This window comes from Homo sapiens, chromosome 19 (genome assembly GCF_000001405.40).
Source record: "Homo sapiens chromosome 19, GRCh38.p14 Primary Assembly".
Lineage (NCBI taxonomy): Eukaryota > Metazoa > Chordata > Mammalia > Primates > Hominidae > Homo > Homo sapiens.
The window spans coordinates 37059038-37080576 of NC_000019.10; the positions used below are offsets into that span (position 1 = coordinate 37059038).

A 21539-nucleotide genomic window follows, 5' to 3' on the forward strand; every position below is an offset into this window, starting at 1 on the left:
CATGCCTCCCGCCTGAGCCCATCCCTGCTCACCCAGTGGGATCCAAAATCGGATCTGAAGAGGAGTCCTGAGAGCCCAGCAGGCGCCCTGAAGCTCCCCCTCCACCGGTGGAAGTCGACTCAAGGAGGCCCTGAAGACAGGACTCCTGGGGGTTTGGCCCTGGGACGCCCGCGGCCCCCTCTCCCACGCCGCCCTCTACTGGACCCCGGATCCAGCCGCCGCCGCGGCTGCAGCAGGAGCTTCCCTGCCTTAGCGCAGCCGCGCCGCCGCCATTGTTTCAAGGGGCCGCAGCCTGACTTCTAGGAGCGGAGCGCGAGTCAACCCCGCCAATGCGCATGCGCGAGGCGCGAGCGGATTCTCACCGTTGTCTTAGAAACCAGTCCCTGAGGCTTGGCAAAGCAGGAGCCCTCCGTGGCAGTGCTTGGCTGTCGGGGCTCCGAGGCTCCGGCCTGACCTCTCCACGGGGTCGACAGGAACGTCTCCGGATGCCACGAGTCGCACAGAGCTGTCGAGGATGACGAAACCACAGGCGGAGTCTGGGGGAAGCGGCGCGGCATCCCAGGCTCAGGCCTGCCCGGACGTGTTAGGGTGAGTCTCCGCAAAAGTCGTGCCCGCCGTGATCTCGAGGACAGGTCTGCCTGTGTGCTCGTGGGCCGCCCTCTCACCTGAGGGTCGTTCTTGCGGAGAGCAGAACCCCGCAGCCTCAGGGGTTGCCTGGCATTTCTGTTTCTATGCCACTGCTCTGTCTCTGTCTCTTTCTCTCTCTCTCTCTCTCACTCTATCTCTGTGTGTGTGTGCGTATGTGTATGTGTGTCTGTCTGTGTCCCATTCTCTTTTCTCTGTCTCTCACTTCCTGTTTCTCTCTCTCCCTCTGTCTGTATGTGTGTGTGCCCATGAGCGTGTGTGTGTTGGGACGTATATGCCCCCTGCGCCAAAAAGGGATTTCTTGTATGTCCGCCTGTCGTTGGCGAGCCTTTTTCTGCGTCTGCCTGGGTCACGTGGCTGGTTGTCTCGTTTTCGCGGCGGTTGCACTTCGGGTTTTTGAAGGCCTCCACCACCTCAGGAGATGCGTCGGTCCCAGAGCAACTGAAGTCTCATCCCCATCCTGAGTGGTCTATTCTCTAGAATCAAGATGACCACACTCCAGGTAAGGACAAAAGCCTCCCAGGAGCTCATTGTCCTAAAGGAGGGAAGTAGACCGACCTCAAAGGAGATGGTTGTATCTCCTCGCGTCTCTTCTCTGAGAAACGAAGCCACACCACGATACAATCTTAAAGAAGAAGCTGGGATGGGGACACGGCAAGGATCCCTGTCACTGGAATGCTGGCCTCTTTGGACAAGTCACCCGTTTGGCACTCCTCCCCTCAGCCCGTGGCGGTGGCACTGTGCTGTATCCTGCCTGGGCTCTGGCCTCTGCTCTGGCCTCCCTCTTGCTCTGTCTCTTCTGTTTCTGAGGGGCCTAGATGCTTCTTGGTCTGGCTGAATGTCTTCAACAAAGATCACTTCCCAGTCCATCAGGGAGAAACTTCATGGAGATCCATGTTCTGATTGTTTCTCTCTCCAAACCTGTTTCTGCTTGATTGGGTAGGTTTGATGATCCTGGAGCTCTTGGCTCCCATACGTGTCTCAGACAGGGAAGCTACCTTGGTCTCCACGTTTCACCTCATGTGTGGGGGGGATTGCCTAGAATGAGCGGTAGGCGACCGTGACTGGCCTTGTCTTCTAGGACAGGCGCTGTCGCATTTTCTCTGCACTTCCTGTCTCATTCTTGAGGGACATCCTCTCCTCCGCTCCGGGGTGGACTGCCTCCCTGAATCTTTTGGCTGTAATGAATGTCAGGGAACCAACGGGACTGGGCTGGGGCTGGGTGCAGGGGAGGTTGCGTCAGGGCTACCTGGGCGGTGGAGGGTTGAGGGTGGGGTGAACTTTGCAGGAACCTCTTTGCTCCTCCAGCAGGCATTTCAAATTGTGGCTTGGACTCACGCACAGGCCCCCTCCTGGTTCCCAGGTGTTCTATGATTTTCGTTGGCATCGATGGAAAGGTCACCTGTGCCCCCCTTCCTCCGGAACATGCCTGGACACCATTGTTTGTTTCGCCATCGCCCCGTATGCCCTCTGTGACACACATTCACAGCATCTGCTCTTGAATACACCAGTGCCACGTGTGGTCACACTGGCTCTACTTTGGATTTGCCCCTTTCCCTGTTTGCACGTGTCCTGCACTTTTACCAGAAGGTGGTAAAAGTAAGAGAAGAATAAAATTTTGGACATGTAAAATTCATGTCTTCTATAGAGTAACTGGGTAAAGATATCCATCAGACTGTTATATATGCTCTTCAGGAGCTCAAGTAGGGATTGTATTGCAAATGAGTAATTTGATATTTATCAGTGTACAATGATGACTGAAACCATTATAGCCATTGCAGTGTGGTGTGATAATTCACTGATGCTATGCGGAACAGGATATCAAGCAGGTTTTGGGGACAAGTACCAGTTAAGAAACAAGCAAAGAAAAGAATTCATAAGTGGAAAATTGTTTTTAAGTGATAATTATAATTAGCATCATGAGAAAACAATATGATGAAGCCAAGGAAAATATTTAAGATGTCTTTTTATAAAAGAGCCATGATGAGCAGATTTTAACTTTGCCTCTCATAAAACCAATTAAAAAAACTTAATTTTCAAAGGAATGTAAAAATAAGGGAAAATATCTTAATTTGGGATAGAAATAAGAAATTGAGGCATCCACATATCCCATATTTTGAGGACTTTCTTACAGAAACAATACACGTAAGATGAGACGGAAATCACCAAGACTTGGGTCATGAGTTTCTGAGGAAGAAATGAGGCAAACGTTAATTCAACGTTTAATGGTGACAATCATTGCTCTGAGCAACTTAACAACTCTTTAATTCTCAAAAAACTTTCATCTATGTGTTTAGCCTCACTTTTAGGTCATAAAACTGAGGAACTGACAATTTCAGTAACTATAATTTGCGCATGTCACACAGAAAGTAGTGGAATGAGAATTGAAATCTACATCTTATAACCTCTAAAATATTTGCTTTTAACCTCTACACTGTTAGAAGTAACTAACTGGACACATGGACAGAATAGTTGTGTGTTTGTTTTCTCCTCAGATGTGGAGAATCATGTAAGTAAAGGAATGAGGCAGTAAAGAAAGAACTGTGTAATATATTTAAGTGTAAGTATTAACTAGTGGGGAAGGGTTCTAGAAGTCATAGGAAAGATGGGATGAAAAACAGAAAAGACATTATATTTAAGAGGAGGAACATCTCATTTTTTGAGACCAGAGTAAAGAAGATATGGAGAGGGCTGTGGACCACAAGTTTAAAACTTTGCCAAAGTATTTTACTTCGTGTCCATGAAAATCTTTTATTTTCCTCTGAGAAATTAATAGGCTTTTTTATGAAAGACAGTGCAAACTATATAATGAATTTTGTTAATTTTAGTTTTATGTCCTAATTTGTTTTTCCTATGAAGGCCAGATTCAAATTTGAAGCTTAATTCTTAATGAACTTATTTCTGTATATTTCTAATTGAAAGTTTCTCCTTAATCACTTATGTTTTCCTAATTTTGATCCACTTAGGGTTTTCCATCTTTTGTTGAGATTATTGTTATCTACTTTTCCTGCCTTATAGAATAAGATAATAAAATAAATACATCATTTAAAACTCACGTAGGACTTCATCATTTCTTCTTCCTGGGAGACAGCAGAATCCTGAGATGGCCAAGGTAGGGGATGGGTGAAAAAATAAGCCATCAAAAACCCCACTTGCTTAGCAGCTCTAGGAAAGGCAGACTAGGAATCTCCAGTTAGTTAAGATCATCTGGAGGAACTTTGTGGGGAAATAATCTTAAAGTCTATCAAAAAGCCAAGAATAACTACACTGTTTGCAGGCACCAATATGTACAAGCATGACTGACGAAATCCTATGGAGCTTCAATATGGATTTTTAAACATTATTTCTAAATTAAAAGTATAATTCAGAAGATATTTTTAAGCTAGCTGCATACTTCACTCTTCGATCTATCCATCCATCCATCCATCCAATCACAAACTTACAGAAAGTTGCAAGTATAGCACCAGGAACTTTCTTGTTACTGAACCATTTGAAAGTAAATTGTTGACCTAATGCTACATCACCCCTGAAACAGGAATTAAAAGAAATTAAAGAGTGTGTAAGCAAAAACTCAATTGTATGTGAGAAAACCCAATTCCCCCTGAGAAACAGAAAGAGCTGGAGTCCTTTAAAAAATTAACTGCCTGTTTTTCTGTGGCTAGTGAGCTTTATCTCTCCCTTTCCCAGGCATTGTGAAGACCCGGTTTCCCTAGCTGTGCAGCTGCAAGGTCACTAGACAGATAAACTCAAGTCGCAAAACATGTTTTTCCTTGAAAAGTAAGAAATGATGTAATGCATGTCTCACTTGCATAAGTGCCTTTGTTTCTCGCTTCTGTAGTATGCTTCCCCCTGCATAGATCTCCCCCCTCCCCCGCCTACCCCCACCCGACGAAATGCCTAAAAGGTAATTTAACTCTTTGTTCAGGGCTCAGTCCTTTAGATGTTAATCCGACTGTGCAGTTAAATAATTAATAAATATCATATCCTCCTGAACCCCATCAGTCGCTCTAATTCCTTAAAGATCCCACAACATCCCTCAAAATGCTGCATATTTCCTACAAAAAGGACATGCCCCTACCTACATAACCACAATCCAATTACCAAAATAAAGAAATTAACATTTATTTGTTATGACCATCGATATCAGATTCAAGTGTTGCCAATTGTGCCATTAACTGGATAGCATGAAAGGAACAAATTTAGAATCATGCATTGCCTTTAGATGTCATGTCTCTTTAATCTCCTTTAGTCTGATACAGTTTCTCAGTCTTGCCCTTTTATAACCTTGACACTTTTTATTATTATAAGCCAGTCTGAAGAATTTCCTTCCAATTTGGTTTTCTCTGATGTTTCCTCATGATAAGGTTCCGAGTTGTAGAAAGAATGCCACAAAAGTGATGCATGCTCCTATCAGGGGCACATGATGACATTCTATCCTATTACTGGTAATACTCCTTGATGAAAGAGCATTACATCTTAATCACTAAGATATACCAGCCAGGCTTCTCTACTGTAAAATTACTCTTTTTTTCCTTTGTAATTAGTAAAGATTTTATGGGGAGGTACTCTGAGACTATGTAAACACACCATTCTTCATCAAACTTTCAATTTATTAATTTATGTCAGTATAGACTTGTGATTTCCTATTTCATTCAGAGGTTTGTAATCTATTATTACTTATTTTAATGACCAGTTTGCTCCAGATTTGGCAAGTGGGAGCCCCTCCTGTGTGGGTTTTGCGGCCTTTAACAGGTTCCTATCATTCTTTGAGCGCCCCTTACTTACACATATAAAAGATGTTCCAGGCTCATCTTGTATTTGCTGTGCCCAACACTGGAATCAATCATTTCTTCAAAGAACGCAGATTTTTATCAGAGGAAATAATAATAGTAGTAAAATATATATTTTATGTGTGTATTTATGTATATGAAACATATTTGATCAGTCCCCCCTAGAAGAAGCCACTATCCCATTACTGCCGCCATACTCTCCCTGGATAGATACCTCCTCATTGTGCTCAAGCTACAGTGCAGTGCTTTAGGCCTAAGTAACTGCACCGGCATGTATGCCTAGCTTGCTCAGCCCCTAATGGATTTAGGATTACAGTATTAGGAAGAGAAGGGAAAATGAAGAATCTTTCCTGTTGGGGTGATCAGACCCAACACCAGGTCGTGGGGGTGACAAAGTCCGGCGGAGTCAAAGGATTGAGAAAAAGACAGTTTGAGAGAGAAAAGTGGGACCGGACCCAGGGGGCCATCACAATCGTAGAGGCTGCGAAGGCCCGAGCTCTGGGAGCCCATGCTATTTATTGGTAATCCAACAAAGAAACAGGTGGTGAGAATGTGGAGGTCAAAAGGGCACATTGCATTAAGTACATGATTTACAGCTGTGATGGTTTAGCATTTGCTCTACTTGAGATAATGGAGAGCAGATTCTTTTAACTCAAGATACAATCAATCCTGGGAGAGCAAGGAGCAAGGAGCCAGCAAGTCTAGATACATTCCAGAGCCATGAGCCCTGGATTCTATCCAAGCCACAAGGGATTTTATGCCCTGGGCTTAGATTATGGTGCATGATGGTAGGCTTCCACCCTTTAGCATAGAGCTTGGTGTTCCAAAGGCCACAAGGGGTTTTAGACCCTGGACCCCGGACATGTTCCAAGACTCTTTTACATTATGTCAGACATGCAAGCCCTGCCTCAGCTTCTCCTAACCCTCAGCTTTTTCCCAACACTTTCCCAGCTGGATCAGAGAGATGCAATGTTTGAAGGACTTGACCCTCTATTGCTGGCTTTTGAGATGGAGGAAGGGGGCCGTGAGCCAAGGAATGTGGCAGCCTCTTGAAGCTGGGAATGGCCCTTGGCTTACAGCCAGCAAGCAAATGGAGACATTGGACTTACAGATGCAAGAAACTGAATTCTGCCTATTAACCTAAATGAGTAGGAAGCAGATTCTCCCTAGAGCCTCTAGAAAATAATGCAGCATTGCTGCCACTTTAAATTTAGTTCAGTGAGGTCTGAACTTCTTGACCTACAGAACTAAAAGCTAATAAATTTGTGTTGTTTTAAGTCACTAAATTTGTGGTAATTTGATACAAGAAAATACTCGTACAGTGGTCACTTAATTTTCAATAAAGGTGCCAAAGACCTCCACTGTTGAAAATACCATTTGCATTTTCAATAAATGGCACTAGAACAACTTGATATCCATACAGAAAAAGAAATAAATGAACTTCAACCCCTACCTGCCACCATGAACAAAAATTAACATAAATCCTAGAACTAATATAAAAAGCTACAACTCTAAGGCTTCTAGAAAGAATAAATATGTAAACATATTTCCAACCTGGCAGTAGACAATTTGTTAAGTCACAGAAAGCAAAACTGCAAAAGAAAAAGAATTGACAAATGTTATCAAAAATGTTTTTCTTACTCATCAAAAGACACTGTTAAAAATATGACTAAGAACATTTATAACTCGGCCAGGCGCGGCGGCTCACGCCTGTAATCCCAGCACTTTGGGAGGCTGCGGCGGGTGGATCACCTAAGGTCAGGAGTTCGAGACCAGCCTGACCAATATGGTGAAACCCCGTCTCTACTAAAAATACAAAAATTAGCTGGGCATAGTGGCATGCGCCTGTAGTCCCAGCTACTCAGGAGGCTGAGACAGGATAATTGCTTTAACCCGGGAGGCAGAGGTTGCAGTGAGCCGAGATTGCACTCCAGCCTGGGTGACAGAGCAAGAGTCTGTCTCAAAAAAAAAAAGAACTTCTATAACTCAACAATAAAAAGATGAACAAACCAATTAAAGATGGGCAAAAATTTTGACCAGATACTTCACAAAGAAAGATGTTTTGCCAATAAGTACATAAAAAGTGATCAACATCATTAGTCATTAGAAAAATGTAAATTAAAAATACTGTGGGACAGTAATGAGATATATAGCCAGAAAGACAGCACCAAATGTTGGCAAAGAGGTAGGGAGACTGAAACTCTCATACTTTGTTAATGGGAGTGTAAAATGGTGCAATCCCTTTGGGTATGGTTTGACAGTTTCTTATAAAACTGAACATACACCTATACACTGTGTCTGAACAATTCCATTCCTAGGTGTTACCCCAGAGAAATGAAAACAGATGTTCATAAACAGACATGTCCAAGAATGTTTATGACACTATTATTCATAATAGCCAAAAACTTGGAAATAGCACAAAAGTTCAACAAGAATATGAATAAACTGTGATACAATCATAGAGTGGAATACAACTCAGCAATAAGAACTATTGAGTATACCACAAACACCCACACATACAACATGGATACATTTTTAAAACATTATACTGAGTGAAAGAAGCCTTACATACAAAAAACACATATTTCAATCCCAATTATACGAAGTTCTAGAAGAGACAAAAATTAATCTACAATGGGAAAATATCAGAATGGCAGTTGTTTCTGGATATAGAGTGGGAAATGACTAGGAAGGAGCATGAAGGAACTTTCTAGGGTGATGGTATTTTTCTTCACTTTGACAGGATTTTGGTTTGCACAAGTATTTGAATCTGTCAAAATTCTTCAAATGGTAAATTTAAGATTACACAATTTTACTGTATGTACATTTTACCTAAAAAGCTGTAACTAGATATTGAACTTTAGTTAGTGGTATGCATGCTAAAGTATTTAGGGGTAAAGTATACGATGTCTACAACTAACTTTGAAATACAACAAAAAATGGATCAATTCATCCTTATGGATGAATACAGGGCTGGATACAAGGCTAATTATTTGGTAAAGCAAATACAGCATGATATTCATTATAGTACTTAGATAGCGAATGTATGGGTATTTTTGTACAATTCTTTTAATTTCTACATGTTTGGAAATTTTCATAAAATGGTGAAAATACAAAACTATCAACTTATAATTCTACATTCAGCAAAAATATCTTTCAAGAATTAGAAGTTTTTAGACAAATAAAGACAGAAGTTTTCAACAATAGATCCTCACTGAAGAAAACTGTGATAGATGCACTTCAGGTAGAAGAAAAGTGATGCAAGAAGGAGAGGTAAGCAAAGAAAGCAGTAAACTGGTGTGTAATCAAACACTCAGCTCATAAAACATAATAATGTCTCCATATGTGTGTGTACATTATTTTGGTGCTTATGTTTACAATATAATTTAGCAGGATATACTTAAGTTATCAAAGTCTAAATAGTATTTTTATTTCCTGCCAATGACATTGGCATACTTCAACACTAATCACTTCTACCAACTTAAAAGCTATTGCTGTGGTATTTTTAAAATATATATTAGTGTGTGTGTGTATATATATATATACACTTACACACACACATACATATAGATATATAACCAGATTATACCACAAAGATAGCATGTAGGTTGGTAGAAACAATGCTTGGTGCTAAAGTATTCTAACATCATTATTTTGCTGGGCAGGAAAAATGTTTTGTTCACACATTGATAACTTAAGTATGTCCTGTTAAATATTTTGCAAAAGTACTAAAATAATATAAATAGAATGCATATTACCCCAAAGAGTAGCAGAAAAGGTTGGGGAGGGGGAACCAAACTGAAGAAAGAATAAAGGAAAGAAATGAAACATTAAAGTTACATATACATCACATCACAAAATAAAATCATAGAAATAAATACAAATGGCCGGGCGCGGTGGCTCATGCCTGTAATCCCAGCACTTTGGGAGGCTGAGGCGGGCGGATCACCTGAGGTCAGCAGTTCAAGACCAGCCTGACCAACATGGAGAAACCCTGTCTCTACTAAAAATACAAAAATTAGCTAGGCGTGATGGTGGACTCCTGTAATCCCAGCTACTCGGGAGGCTGAGGCAGGAGAATTGCTTGAACCCAGGAGGCAGAGGTTGTGGTGAGCCAAGATTGTGCCATTGCACTCCAGCCTGGGCAACAAGAGTGAAACTCTGTCTCAAAATAAATAAATAAATAAATAAATAAAAATATGCCAGTACATCTCTGATTGGATAAATAAGTAAAATGTAACTAAAATCTGTTTTCAAGAAGTATATTAAGGGAAGCATATAGAAAGACTGAAAATGAAGAACAGAAAAAACATTTGGAAAATACTAATCAAATGAAAGCTAGTGTTGTGATATTAGTGTCAGATAAAACAGACTAGAGCATTATTATAAAGTGATCACTAACTGCATCATGATGAAATGTTCAATTTTCCATGAAGATATAAAAATTGCAAGCTTAAGTTACTAAAAATACACACTATAAACCAAAAATTAATGAAACTACAAGGAAAAATAACCTTACAGATATGGCGAGATATTATACATAGTTCTTTTAGTAAATGATAGATAAAAGAGATACAATCAGTAAGATTATAGATTTCAACAAAAATTACAACTTTATTTAATGGCTATGTATTTTTAAAACAGTTACTATTATACACAATAGCTGCAAAAGACAAATTCTCATCAAAGACACACTGAATATTTAGAAAACTTAGACACGTATTAGCCTATCGGGCAAATCTCGAAAACTTTCAAAGGACTAGTTTTATATACCGTACTTTCACTGCCCACAAAAGTAGCTATGTTTGATATATGTCATCAAAGGAAAATTAGAAAGACCTATATAGTTAAGAAATATAATTCTAAATTATTTATGGTTAAAAGAAATCATAGTAGAAATTTAAAAGTATTTAAAACTGAATGATGAGATTACTACTTAATATACTGATGCTCCTGGACTCAATGGGGTTATGCCCTAATAAACCCATCACAAGTTGAAAATATCATTAAGTCAAAAATGCTTTTACCTAACCTACCAAGCATGACAGCTTAGCATAACCTACTTTAAACATGATCAGAACACTTATATTACCTACCAGTTAGATGAAATCATCTAACACAAACCCTATTTTATAATTAAGTGCTGAATGTCTTAATTTATTGAATACTGAACTAAAAGTGAAAAACAGTATTGTCGTATGGATATTTGAAATACGTTTCTACTGAATCCATATGGCTTTTACACCATCATAAAGTTAAAAAAATCATAGAACCATTGTAAGTTGGAGACTGACTGTATATAAAATTCTGTAGGATGCAGCTAAAGTTGGACCTCGAGGAAAAGTTATAACCTTACCAGTTTATATTAGAAGTGTAAAAATTGATAATATCTAGCATCCAGCTTAAAAATGTGAGAAAACAATGGCAGAATAAATCCAAGGAAAGTGAAAGCAAGGAAATAATAAAGACCAAAACAATACAAGAAATAGAAAAATAGTTATATTATGGAGAGGATTAATAAAGTCTCAAATAGATTTTTGTGTTATATCCCAAAAATTATTATAAAACTGCTACAGCATGGAAATAGCACAGGGAACAAATTGACCAATATAATTGAATAATGAATTCCCAACATATGTGACACATACATATGTGTTGTATGTCCCATACACATATAATAATCCAATTTATGACTACTGATAAGTGAAAAAGTTGGTCTTTGCATATTCTGGGACAACTGGTATATGCACACATACATAACACAGAAATTGTATCTCTCCTTTAACTTACTACAGAGATGAATTCTAAGAGATTTTATAAAAAAAATTGTGAAAGGCAAAACTATAAACCTTTAAGAAGATAATATATGAAGCTAAATTTATGACTTTGATATAGAGAAGGATTTCTTAAAATGCAAGAAAGTACAAGCCATAGAGAAAAAAATTCATAAATCTGACATTAAAACAGAGAATTTCTATTTGTTAAAAGATCCCTATTGTAAACAAAGACAAGCTATAAACTGGGATATTTTCAACACATATAGTTGATACAGAATAAACATCCAAAATATTTTTACAAAGTCCTATAATAATAAAAAGACAACCCAAAGAAATTGAGCAAAGGGTTTCAGTAGGCATTTCACAGAAGAGGAAGGGCCAATAAACAAGTCTTTAAAATCTTAACCTTATTAGTAAGCAGAGAAATGCAAATTAAAACCAAAATGAGATTCTACTGCATATACATCTACCAGAATCACCTGAACTTAAAATTCTGAGCATTTCAAATGTTAGTAAAGAGTATACATTGGAAAATCCCCTTTGGAAAATATTGCATATTGCCTAGTAAAGTTGAGAATATTTGCATGGTATATGTACTCTGTGTTCAGTAATATATTCTTCATATATATCCTAGAACAGGGCTTAGCAAACTATGGCCCACAGGCTAGATCCTGCCTTGGCATAAAGTTTCACTAGAACACACTCGTTCTTTTACATATTGTCTATGGCTGTGATTTCATGATACAATGGCAGAGTTGAGTAGTTGTGACAGAAACTGTATGGCCCGCAAAGCCTAAAATATTTCCTATATGTCCCTTTGCACAAGAAAGTTTGATGACCCTTGCCCTAGAACAGCCTCTGCATGTCCATCAGTAAACATGTACAAGAATGTTCGTAATAGAACTATAAATTCAAACTTTGAAGCAACTCACATTTCTATCAACTGAGAATGGATTTTAAAAACTGTAATATAGTCAAGCAATGGAATACTGTACCATAAAAATGAATGGATTATAGCTACACTACTTAATCTCAGGAACATAATGTTGACAAAAAAGCGAGTCACAGAATGATATATGAAATAGTTATATAAAACTCAAAAACATCCATAAACAACATAGTTTTGGAGTAAGTAGCTGAAACTATAAAGAAAAGCAAGAGAATTATAAACATAAATCTCAGGATAATTGTTATGTCTGAAGGAAAAGGGGATAGAAATGGGAATAGATGTCTAGGAGTCTTCAAAGTTAGTAGTTAATATTTTCTTTTGGCTGGGCGTGGTGGCTCACGCCTGTAATCTCAACACTTTGGGAGGCCGAGGCAGGTGGATCACCTGAGGTCAGGAGTTCGATACCAGCCTGGCCAACAAGGTGAAACCCCATCTCTACTGAAAATACAAAAATTAGCTGGGCATGGTGGTGCGCACCTGTAGTCCCAGCTACTCGGGAGGCTGAGGCAGGAGAATCGCTTGAACCCAAGAGGCGGAGGTTGCAGTGAGCTGAGATCCTGCCACTGCACTCCAGCCTGGGCAACAGAGTGAGACTCCATCTCAAAAAAATAAATATTTTCTTTCTTAAAAAAGGTAGTTGGTACACAGGTTTTTGCTGTATTGAGAATTAAAAAAATACATATACTTCATAAATATTATTTTGTATCTACTCTATATTTAATAGAAACTATCTTTGAAACATACGAATTTAATTAAAAGACAGGGTGAAGGTTAAATTCTTTTGGTAGGTCATAATAAAGTAGACTCAATTTCCTCCAATGGACTGGAGCCTCTAAGGCAAATACTCGAATAACATTGTAAAATATGATTTCTGTTGACTGAAAAACTGGGCTTGAAAAACCAACGGTTTCATTCTACCTGATTCTTCCTCCCTCACCAAGACTCTTTCATTTCTTTTTTAACCATATCTTTCTTTCCCATTATCTGATAAGGAAATTATAATGGGCTTAAAAACTTAGAAACCATCTTGCATATCGTAAAAGATAAGAAATTGGTCAGACTCTGGCTGTGGAATTAAGACCCATTTCCATGGTTGTCAGGGAAGCAAGGCCATCCTAGGAAGGGCTAAAGAAAGCTACAATCAGAGTTGCCTCCACACGATTCTGCAAAGCTCTAATTATTTTCTGAGAACAAGGGACAAAAATTCAGGCAAGCACACAGAATCCACAGGATTCACAAAGGAAGAAGATACTCCAGATTGTAAATTTTAATTTGGGGGAGAAGATGTCCTTCCCTAGCCAGATAGATTCTTCTAGTTTCCAATATAAAATCTGTAAATAATCTCTCTGAATTCAGTTATCTCTACTCCTTTTAGGAAAAGTCTTGAAGGTCACTGGCCACTGCAATGAAAAATTGTTAATCACACAAAGCCAGGGTCAAGATTCATGACATAGATGGCCATTGTGAATGAGGAACTATTCATATATATTTCAGGATTCTCAATCCAACAACAGTAGAATGGTTAAAAAGGATTATGATGATCAATAGACACTATGTAATCTTTAATATGTTCCAATTAAAATACATCATATTAACAAATTTTAATTTTGTAATATTCAAAATGTTTTCTGTCATTATTTCAAAATACTAATGATGTCTTTTTAAATATTATGAACATTTAAAAGGTATATGCATTTTATTGCAATATTTTGTTTTAAAACATGAAAAAAACAGATTACAAAATAGTATGTAGTAAGTGATGTTTTTGATATGACTGTACAAATATTTAATGGCATTTGAAAAGATATGTGTTTATCTTTTGATTGTGATACCACTGGTGGTTTTAAAAGTTTTCTTTTCCTAGGGCTGGCCAGGGTGGCTCATGCTTATAATCCCAGTACTTTGGGAGGCTGAGGGAGGTTGACTTGACCCTAGGAGTTCAAGGTTACCATGAGCCATGATTACACCACTGCACTCCAGCCTGGGTGACAGAGCGAGACCCCATCTCTTTAAAAAAGAAAAATGTCACTGACATAATACTGCGTAAAATTTTAAGATTCATTTTGTTAATTTAAAATTTATAATCCTAAGTTTATTGGATGCATAACATTCTGCTCCCTGTGTACTATAAATTACTTAACTATTTCTTTGTTGAGAATATACATTGAAAAGATCATCTCAAAAATTCTCCTCACAAAGTGGCTAATTCCAAGTCTGGGACAGGGAATGCACAATATAAGTACGAAATATCTGTGCCAGGTTGGGCGTGGTGGTTCACACCTGTAATCCCAACACTTTGGGAGGCCTAGGCGGGTGGATCACTTGAGATCAGGAGTTTGAGGCCAGCCTGGCCAACATGGTGAAACCCTGTCTCTACTAAAAATATAAAAAAATTAGCCGGGCATGGTGACAGGTGCCTCTAATCCCAGCTACTTGGGAGGCTGAGACAGGAGAACTGCCTGACCCGGGAGGTGGAGGTTGCAGTGAGCCGAGCCGAGATCATGCCACTGTACTGCAGTCTTGGCGACAGAGCGAGACTCTGCCTGAAAAAAGAAAAAAAAAAAAAAAGAAAAGAAAAGAAAGAAAGAAAAAGGAAAAAAAAGAAATACCTGTGTCAAAAAGTAAGGAAGTGCTCAAAGACAAATGGGGACACGGGCACCAGCGTCAGGGGTTCTTACAGGCCAATTTGGAACAATTTGAGCAACACAGAGGATGATAACAGGCTAAAGTACTTTGGACAAAAAATAAAAATCCATGAGCCATAGTGATATTCAAAAGAGAAAAAATAAAGAGGTATAGAGGGAAAGGGTGGAAAGGCAAAGCTCTTTTATATACAAGAAGGAATGGTAAAATTAAAAATCACCATTTTGCAACTCCTAACTTAATAACTGATTTAGACAAGAATCATTAATGATTATTAAAACCATCAGGTAAAAGGCTATTTGGGAAATGGTTTCAAAATATCCCCATCAGATTACTTCTTAGCCTCAAAGAAAAAAAGGTATTTTTTTACCATGAAGAAATCAGGTGCACATCTCCTTGAACCAAAGTAATAAAATTTAGTATCATTGGTAATGGATCAAACTGAAATTATGTGTCACTTAATATGATGCAATAGGAAGAACACACCAGCATTCATAGTTTTCTTGCCAAATATATTTAAACTTAACCTAATTATGACAGAGCAATCAAACAAATCCAGAATGTTAGGCATTCTACAAGACAAATATTCTGGACCCTTCAACTCTTAAAAAATGTCATGAAATACAAAAACAGGCTGGGGGAATGCTGTTCTAGATTAAAGAAATTAAAAAGATAGGCCCACCTACTGTAATGTGTGACCTTAATTGGGACCAGGATGGATATTTTAAATACACATATCAGACATTTGGGAAACACTAGGGCAATTTAAATGTGGACTATATATTAGATAATATTATGAATCATTGTTAAAATTTATATGTATATTCATGATATCGAGGTTATGCAGGAGAACAACCTTGTTCTTCGAGATGCGTGCTGAAATCCTCAATGGTGAAATATATAATATCTGCAGCTTACCCATAAATGGTGAACAAAAAATAAACAAAAATATGTAAATACATGCAGACAGAGATTAAGCAAATGGTCCAAAATGTTAAAAACTGGTGAATCTAAGTAAAGGATACACAGTGCAAATCATTATTCTTTTAATTTTCCTGTAGCTTTAACATTTTTCAAAATAAACACTTAGGGAAAAGTAATTATATCAGAGTGCCTCAGATACTTTTTTGGGATTGCTGATTAAATGCTAGACTCATACGTACTGGCATAAACCTAATCTGTTGGAAGAAGTTCAAAATCATTTGCCAACATCAACAAAGACTCTCAAAGAAAATAATCCAGTGCCAGGAAAGAGAACATACTTACCAATGCTGTCCAGGGTCAGACACTATAACGGAGCTGAATCCAGTAACTGGGCTGAAGAGATAACTAATCCTTAAAGGTCAGCAAGGTCAAAATGGGTTATAAGGACATAAATATGAAACTGGCATTTCATAAACAAACAAGACACCTCAGGCCTATGAAAACTTGTTGCCTTACTATTCCCTTCTCTCTGCAGTCTTCCTAAGGTGTAAGTTTTTCTGGATTTTGTCTGCTTCCACAGTTTAGGTTCCTTGGCTCACTTCCTTGCTCCAAAACCAACGTCTCTATTGACTTTTATATTTTAAAATTAAATTTTAAATATATGAGTGATGCTACCTTGCTAAAAGAGAGAGAGAGGCCGGGCGCGGTAGCTCACGTCTGTCATCCCAGCACTTTGGGAGGCCAAGGTGGGCAAATCACGAGGTCAGGAGTTCGAGACCAGCCTGGCTAAAATGGTGAAACCCTGTCTCCACTAAAAATACAAAAAATTAGCTGGGCGTAGTGGCAGGCGCCTGTAATCCCAGCTACTCGGGAGGCTGAGGCAGGAGAATCACTTGAACCCGGGAAGCGGAGGTTGCAGTGAGCTGAGAGCGCACCACTGCACTCCAGCCCGGGCGACAGAGTGAGACTCTGTCTCAAAACAAAAACAAAAACAAAAACAAACAAACAAACAAAAACAGAGAGAGAGGGAGAGAAATGACCTATAATGCTTAAGTTCCCTTTGACATTTACTTCTCCCCCTTTACCCTAAATCCTCTCTTCTCTCCCTAAAGGTTACCATTAGCAGGAGTTTTGTGTGTATCCCTCTATAAAATATATACTATTTTTATACTAATTATATCACATAGTATTCTAACAAATCCTTCTCAGTTCCTGCAGTCTACGTTTCTGATGGTCTTAACCTTTTTTAGCTTAAAGTACCTCTTTGTGAATCTGAAAAGCTGCCTATACTTTTTTTAAAAAAATCACATATCAACACATATAAAATGTCATAAGTTTAATATACAAGAAGCCCATCCACATGGAATCTATTCATCTCAGGTGAACAACTGTTTTTTACTTTTAAGTGATAGCTTCCTTTTTCTTGCAAGCACTCATCGTAACTATTCAAAAGCCAAAAGTAGTGACCCAGAATCACACAGATGCGGCTCAAGATCAATGCATGCTGTTCAATTTGAAACCAGAATGTGTCTGTCACCTCCTAAAAAAAAAAACAAAACCCAGTATATATCTCCCATATATAATTGGACATAATTCTTTTTTATTTTTATTTTTATTTATTTATTATACTTTAAGTTCTAGGGTACATGTGCACAACGTGCAGGTTTGTTACATATGTATACATGTGCCATGTTGGTGTGCTGCACCTGTTAACTCATCATTTACATTAGATATATCTCCTAATGCTACCCCTCCCCCTACCCCCACTCCCTGACAGGCCCCAGTGTGTGATGTTCCTTACCCTGTGTCCAAGTGTTCTCATTGTTCAATTCCCACCTATGAGTGAGAACATGTGGTGTTTGGTTTTCTGTCCTTGCGATAGTTTGCTAAGAATGATGGTTTCCAGCTTTATCCATGTCCCTATAAAGGACATGAACTCATCCTTTTTTATGGCTGCATAGTATTCCATGATGTATATGTGCCACATTTTCTTAATCCAGTCTATCATTGATGGACATTTGGGTTGGTTCCAAGTCTTTGCTATCGTGAATAGTGCCGCAATAAACATACGTGTGCATGTGAATTGGACATAATTCTTGCCTGACTTTGACCCACTCTAACTCAGTGCAATTTAATTATCTATATTTCACATAGCTATGCCTGATCACACACACAGGTTCATTCCCTCAAGAATTCTGATCACCAAATTTGCTATTCCAGTCACATTACCGGTAAGAGATCAATGTATTTGATATATGGTCTTGCAAGACCAAGTTTTATTAATTTTTTTCCCTCTGAAGGAGTGGTGAAATTATACTCTATCTTCTCTGTGCTGGAAGTTCACAAGTTTTTGATTATTCAAAAATCATAAAAGGCCAAGAGGTCTTGAAGTAAGTAAAAATAAGTTCAGGTTTACCAACAAACTCTACAGCCTTAAGTTACTTTCTGCCGGCCAAGGTTTTCTCATCAGAAAATGAGGACAAGTGTTTGACCTAGAATTTGGGAAATCTGACTAGTGCTGTACTGTGCTAAAATTCACTCTTCTTATGTATAACGTTGTTTTATTATTTTATTAGTTGATGGCCTCTCAACCGTACCCAGTAATAAGAGAAACTTTACCCTCTAATTAGAAAATAATGGATATCTACTTTTGGCCTGCTGTGGCAGAGGAAAAGGCAGTTACCCTAGGACTGGTTTTGAAATAATCTTTCTAAAAACAAAGAAAAAACTACGTTAATTTTGGATTCTTCCCGATAACACATATATTTGATCCAATAGAAAAATGATGTCTAAATTACTTGTCAGATAAATTGATTATCTTTTCCAGATTATTACATTACTATTTAAGGAAGAAATAACTTGGCCATAGTATTTTCACTGTCACACACGATCACACACAGCTCATTTGCTCTTGGCACCCTTACAGACACTGAAATACAAGCACAAAGAAAGCACGTTTATATAACACAGATCACCAGTTACTCAATTACGGCCACACACAAAAAAGCAGATATACATACAGATACCCTTCATAAGCAAACCACAATAGAGATCTGTGTAAAATCGTCTTACTCTGTTAGACGATTCTACACAGTTATAAAATCCCATTACTACGCAGCTTAAAGTACAAATCACCTCACACCCCACAGCAGGAAGAATCACACACAGGCAGAAACACAACCATACACACCCGGCCACGGAAAGACTCTCAGTCCACCTGGCATCTCCCATTGTCACACACACCCCAAGGGCCTGGGAGGGCACACACAGGGTCCTCTGCAAATCCGAGGTTCCGGCGGGTCCCCGCACCGGCCCCAGCTCCTCCCCCGCACCTGCCTGGCCGGCGGGTCCCACCCTCTCTCCTGCCAGGGGTAGACCCTGGGACCACTCAGCTCGCTCTCGCAGGCCCTGAGCGTCTGACGCCTGCGCACTGAGCGCGGGCGGGCGGGCACTCCCAGAAACCTCCGGGGCGCTGCAGGCGGGACAAGCAGGTTCCACAGGCCGAGCCCACGAGCCCCTCGAGGGGTGAGCGGCCCGGGCCTCCTGGCGTTCTGGCCGGCTAGCCAAGCGCTGGACTACATTTCCCAGAGGCACGGCGTCCGGAGCGCTGGACTACATTTCCCAGAGGCACCGCTCCCGGAGCGTAGCTTCATTTCCGTTAGTTTGCGAGATTTGGAGGCCTCGCGTGGGGAGAGGGCCGCGTCTGTGGAGGAGCTTGGCTCCGCACCTGCTGGGCTGGCGAACCCGAAATTGGGCTTGGAACCCGGGAGCCAGATCTTGGACCCTGAACTGCACCTCTGTCAAGGTAGGAGTGTCCGGGATGCCGGAGCGGACACGCGCGGAGAAAGCGTCGCTGGGGTTACTCGTGTGGCCGTGTCTCCGGTTTTGTGTGCAGGCTACAGCCTGCCTGGTATTGGCGACTGCCTGTGCATACACGACTGGACGTGTGTGGCTGTGGTTTTGTGTATGAGCATTTGTATGAGTGTGAGTTGTGACTCTGAGGGTGTTTGTGACTGTTTGCTTACCTGGCTGGGATATACTTATGTGACTGTGATTTTATGTGTGCCGCGTGTATAATTGGGGTTTGCCTGTGACTATGAAGTGTGTGACAGTTGTGACAAGAGTGTTTGGATGTTCTTGTGTCACTTTGAGGTTGTGTGTAAACCTGATATCGTGGGATGGATTTGCCAGTAAATTTAAGGTGTGTGACAGTGTTGCTGTGACACGGTGTTTATTACCGCGTGTTTCCCTGATTTCGTACTGGGTTGGGTGACTGTCTGATTGTGTGTGACTGTGGGGTTGTGTGTGCTGTTTTCATGACTGTGTAAAGAGACTAAAATTGCAGCTTTGAAAGGGTGTTTTTGGCGGTATGTGTCTCTGACAAGGTGCTTGGATGTAATTATATGCCTTGTACTTAATGGGATTTTGTTTGAGACAAGGTGGTCTAACAATGTAGCATAATTGGGTGATTGTGCCTCTAGCTGTGTAACTGTGGAAATGTGATTATGTGTGACTTTATGTGGCCATTTGTATATTCTGTGACCTTATGGGGGTTTAGTCCAGTACAGAAGTAAATTTCTTTTTGGTATTTCTGGGGTTCATTTGGGGCTGAGGTCTGCCTATGGATTGTGAGTCCCATGTGGCTCTGTGCTCCTCCCATGTGGCTCTGAGGACTTAAGGACTTTTTGATTTGACCACAGTGGCTGCCCTTTCATCCATGGCCTGTATTGCTTCATTTCTGTATCCATCCTCGGTTCACCTTGGGAAATGTAGTTACTTACGAGTTCACGACTTCTTCCCTGCGTCCTCTTGCCTTATAGCCTTAAGGGGATTGGGTGCAGGGAAGTGGCAAGAAGTAAGGAAGTCAGACATTTGGACACCTGAGTGATGAATAGGAGTTATTTGCAAGTTACAGACCTGGTCTTAGGATGAGAATTTTAGGGCTGATAATACCTTCAAGACAGCCACTGGATGCTGTGCGCGGTGGCTCACATCTGTAATCCCAGCGCTTTGGGAGGCAGAGGCGGGTGGATTACCTGAGGTCATGGTTTCACCATGACCTCTACTAAAAATACAAAATTAGCTGGGCGTGGTGGCGCATGCCTGTAATCCCAGCTACTTAGGAGGCTGAGGCAGGAGAATTGCTTGAACCCGGGAGGCGGAGGTTGCAGTGAGCCAAGATCAAGCCACTGCACTCCAGCCTGGGCAACAAGAGTGAAACTCATTCTCTAAATAAATAAATAAATAGGCCACTGGAAATATAATGGGACTCCAGGAGTGGGAATAGTTTCAGAGGGAGTGCTTTAGGAGACAGCCACCCAGTTCTGAACCTGAAGCACCCCACTGCAGGACTGTCTCCAGTGTACAGCTTTGAATACAGAAATAAATTCAAGCCCAAGACAGCTGTGACCTGGCCCTTCTTTCTGATACAGAAGGTAGAAGACTTATTCTAGTCTCCTCCTGACTTTTCTTTATGTTAAATGAGATTAAGAGGATGGAGGAAGAGGGTATGTTATAATTTAGCATATTCCCCAAGAAAGGCCTAATATCTCATTCCATTTTTCTTTTTCTGAGAGTAGAGCCCAGAGGAGAAAGAATGGCTGTTTCAGTAGCAATGTCCAAGGTGAGTATTTCCTCTTTGTTTCCTGAAATACCTTTGTTATTACAGGACATAGACATTTTTGTTTTCTTTTTGAAATTTCTTGCCTTCTCAAATGATAGAGGGGCAAGGCAATTTTTGGTAGATTGAGAGCAAAGAAAATGTGCCATTAATCGGGATAGATGCTTCCCCAATAGTGGTTAAATTTACGA

The 21539-nt window shown here is 40.0% G+C and overlaps 1 protein-coding gene and 1 long non-coding RNA gene across 23 annotated transcripts in view, besides 2 other annotated features; one reads left to right on the forward strand and one right to left on the reverse strand.

Annotated features, from left to right (window-relative positions):
* ZNF420 (zinc finger protein 420) overlaps positions 1-21539 on the forward strand; it is a 122467-nt gene that overhangs the window by 51136 nt on the left and 49792 nt on the right. For 7 of the 22 annotated variants that reach the window (XM_047438229.1, XM_011526507.4, NM_001329517.1 and 4 more), the window contains exons 1-2: positions 19185-19533; positions 21308-21351. The gene's annotated coding sequence lies outside the window, so the exon portion shown is untranslated. Of the gene's footprint in view, positions 1-19184; positions 19534-21307; positions 21352-21539 lie in introns of those variants that run through there. The other 15 variants (NR_138039.2, NM_144689.5, NM_001329521.3 and 12 more) reach the window with 4 other exon arrangements.
* On the reverse strand, positions 5865-19160 carry LOC105372390 (uncharacterized). The gene is made up of 2 exons (XR_001754095.2): positions 19061-19160; positions 5865-17268 (listed from the first exon to the last, which is right to left on the reverse strand). It is a non-coding gene; the product is annotated as an uncharacterized LOC105372390 (long non-coding RNA).
* Positions 18852-19141: a silencer, noted in NCBI's record as "silent region_10553". NCBI's record gives its function as "represses an Ori minimal core promoter by ATAC-STARR-seq in GM12878 lymphoblastoid cells {active_cell/tissue: GM12878}" and the evidence as "EXISTENCE:reporter gene assay evidence [ECO:0000049][PMID:35858748]".
* Positions 19232-19471: an enhancer, noted in NCBI's record as "active region_14538". NCBI's record gives its function as "activates an Ori minimal core promoter by ATAC-STARR-seq in GM12878 lymphoblastoid cells {active_cell/tissue: GM12878}" and the evidence as "EXISTENCE:reporter gene assay evidence [ECO:0000049][PMID:35858748]".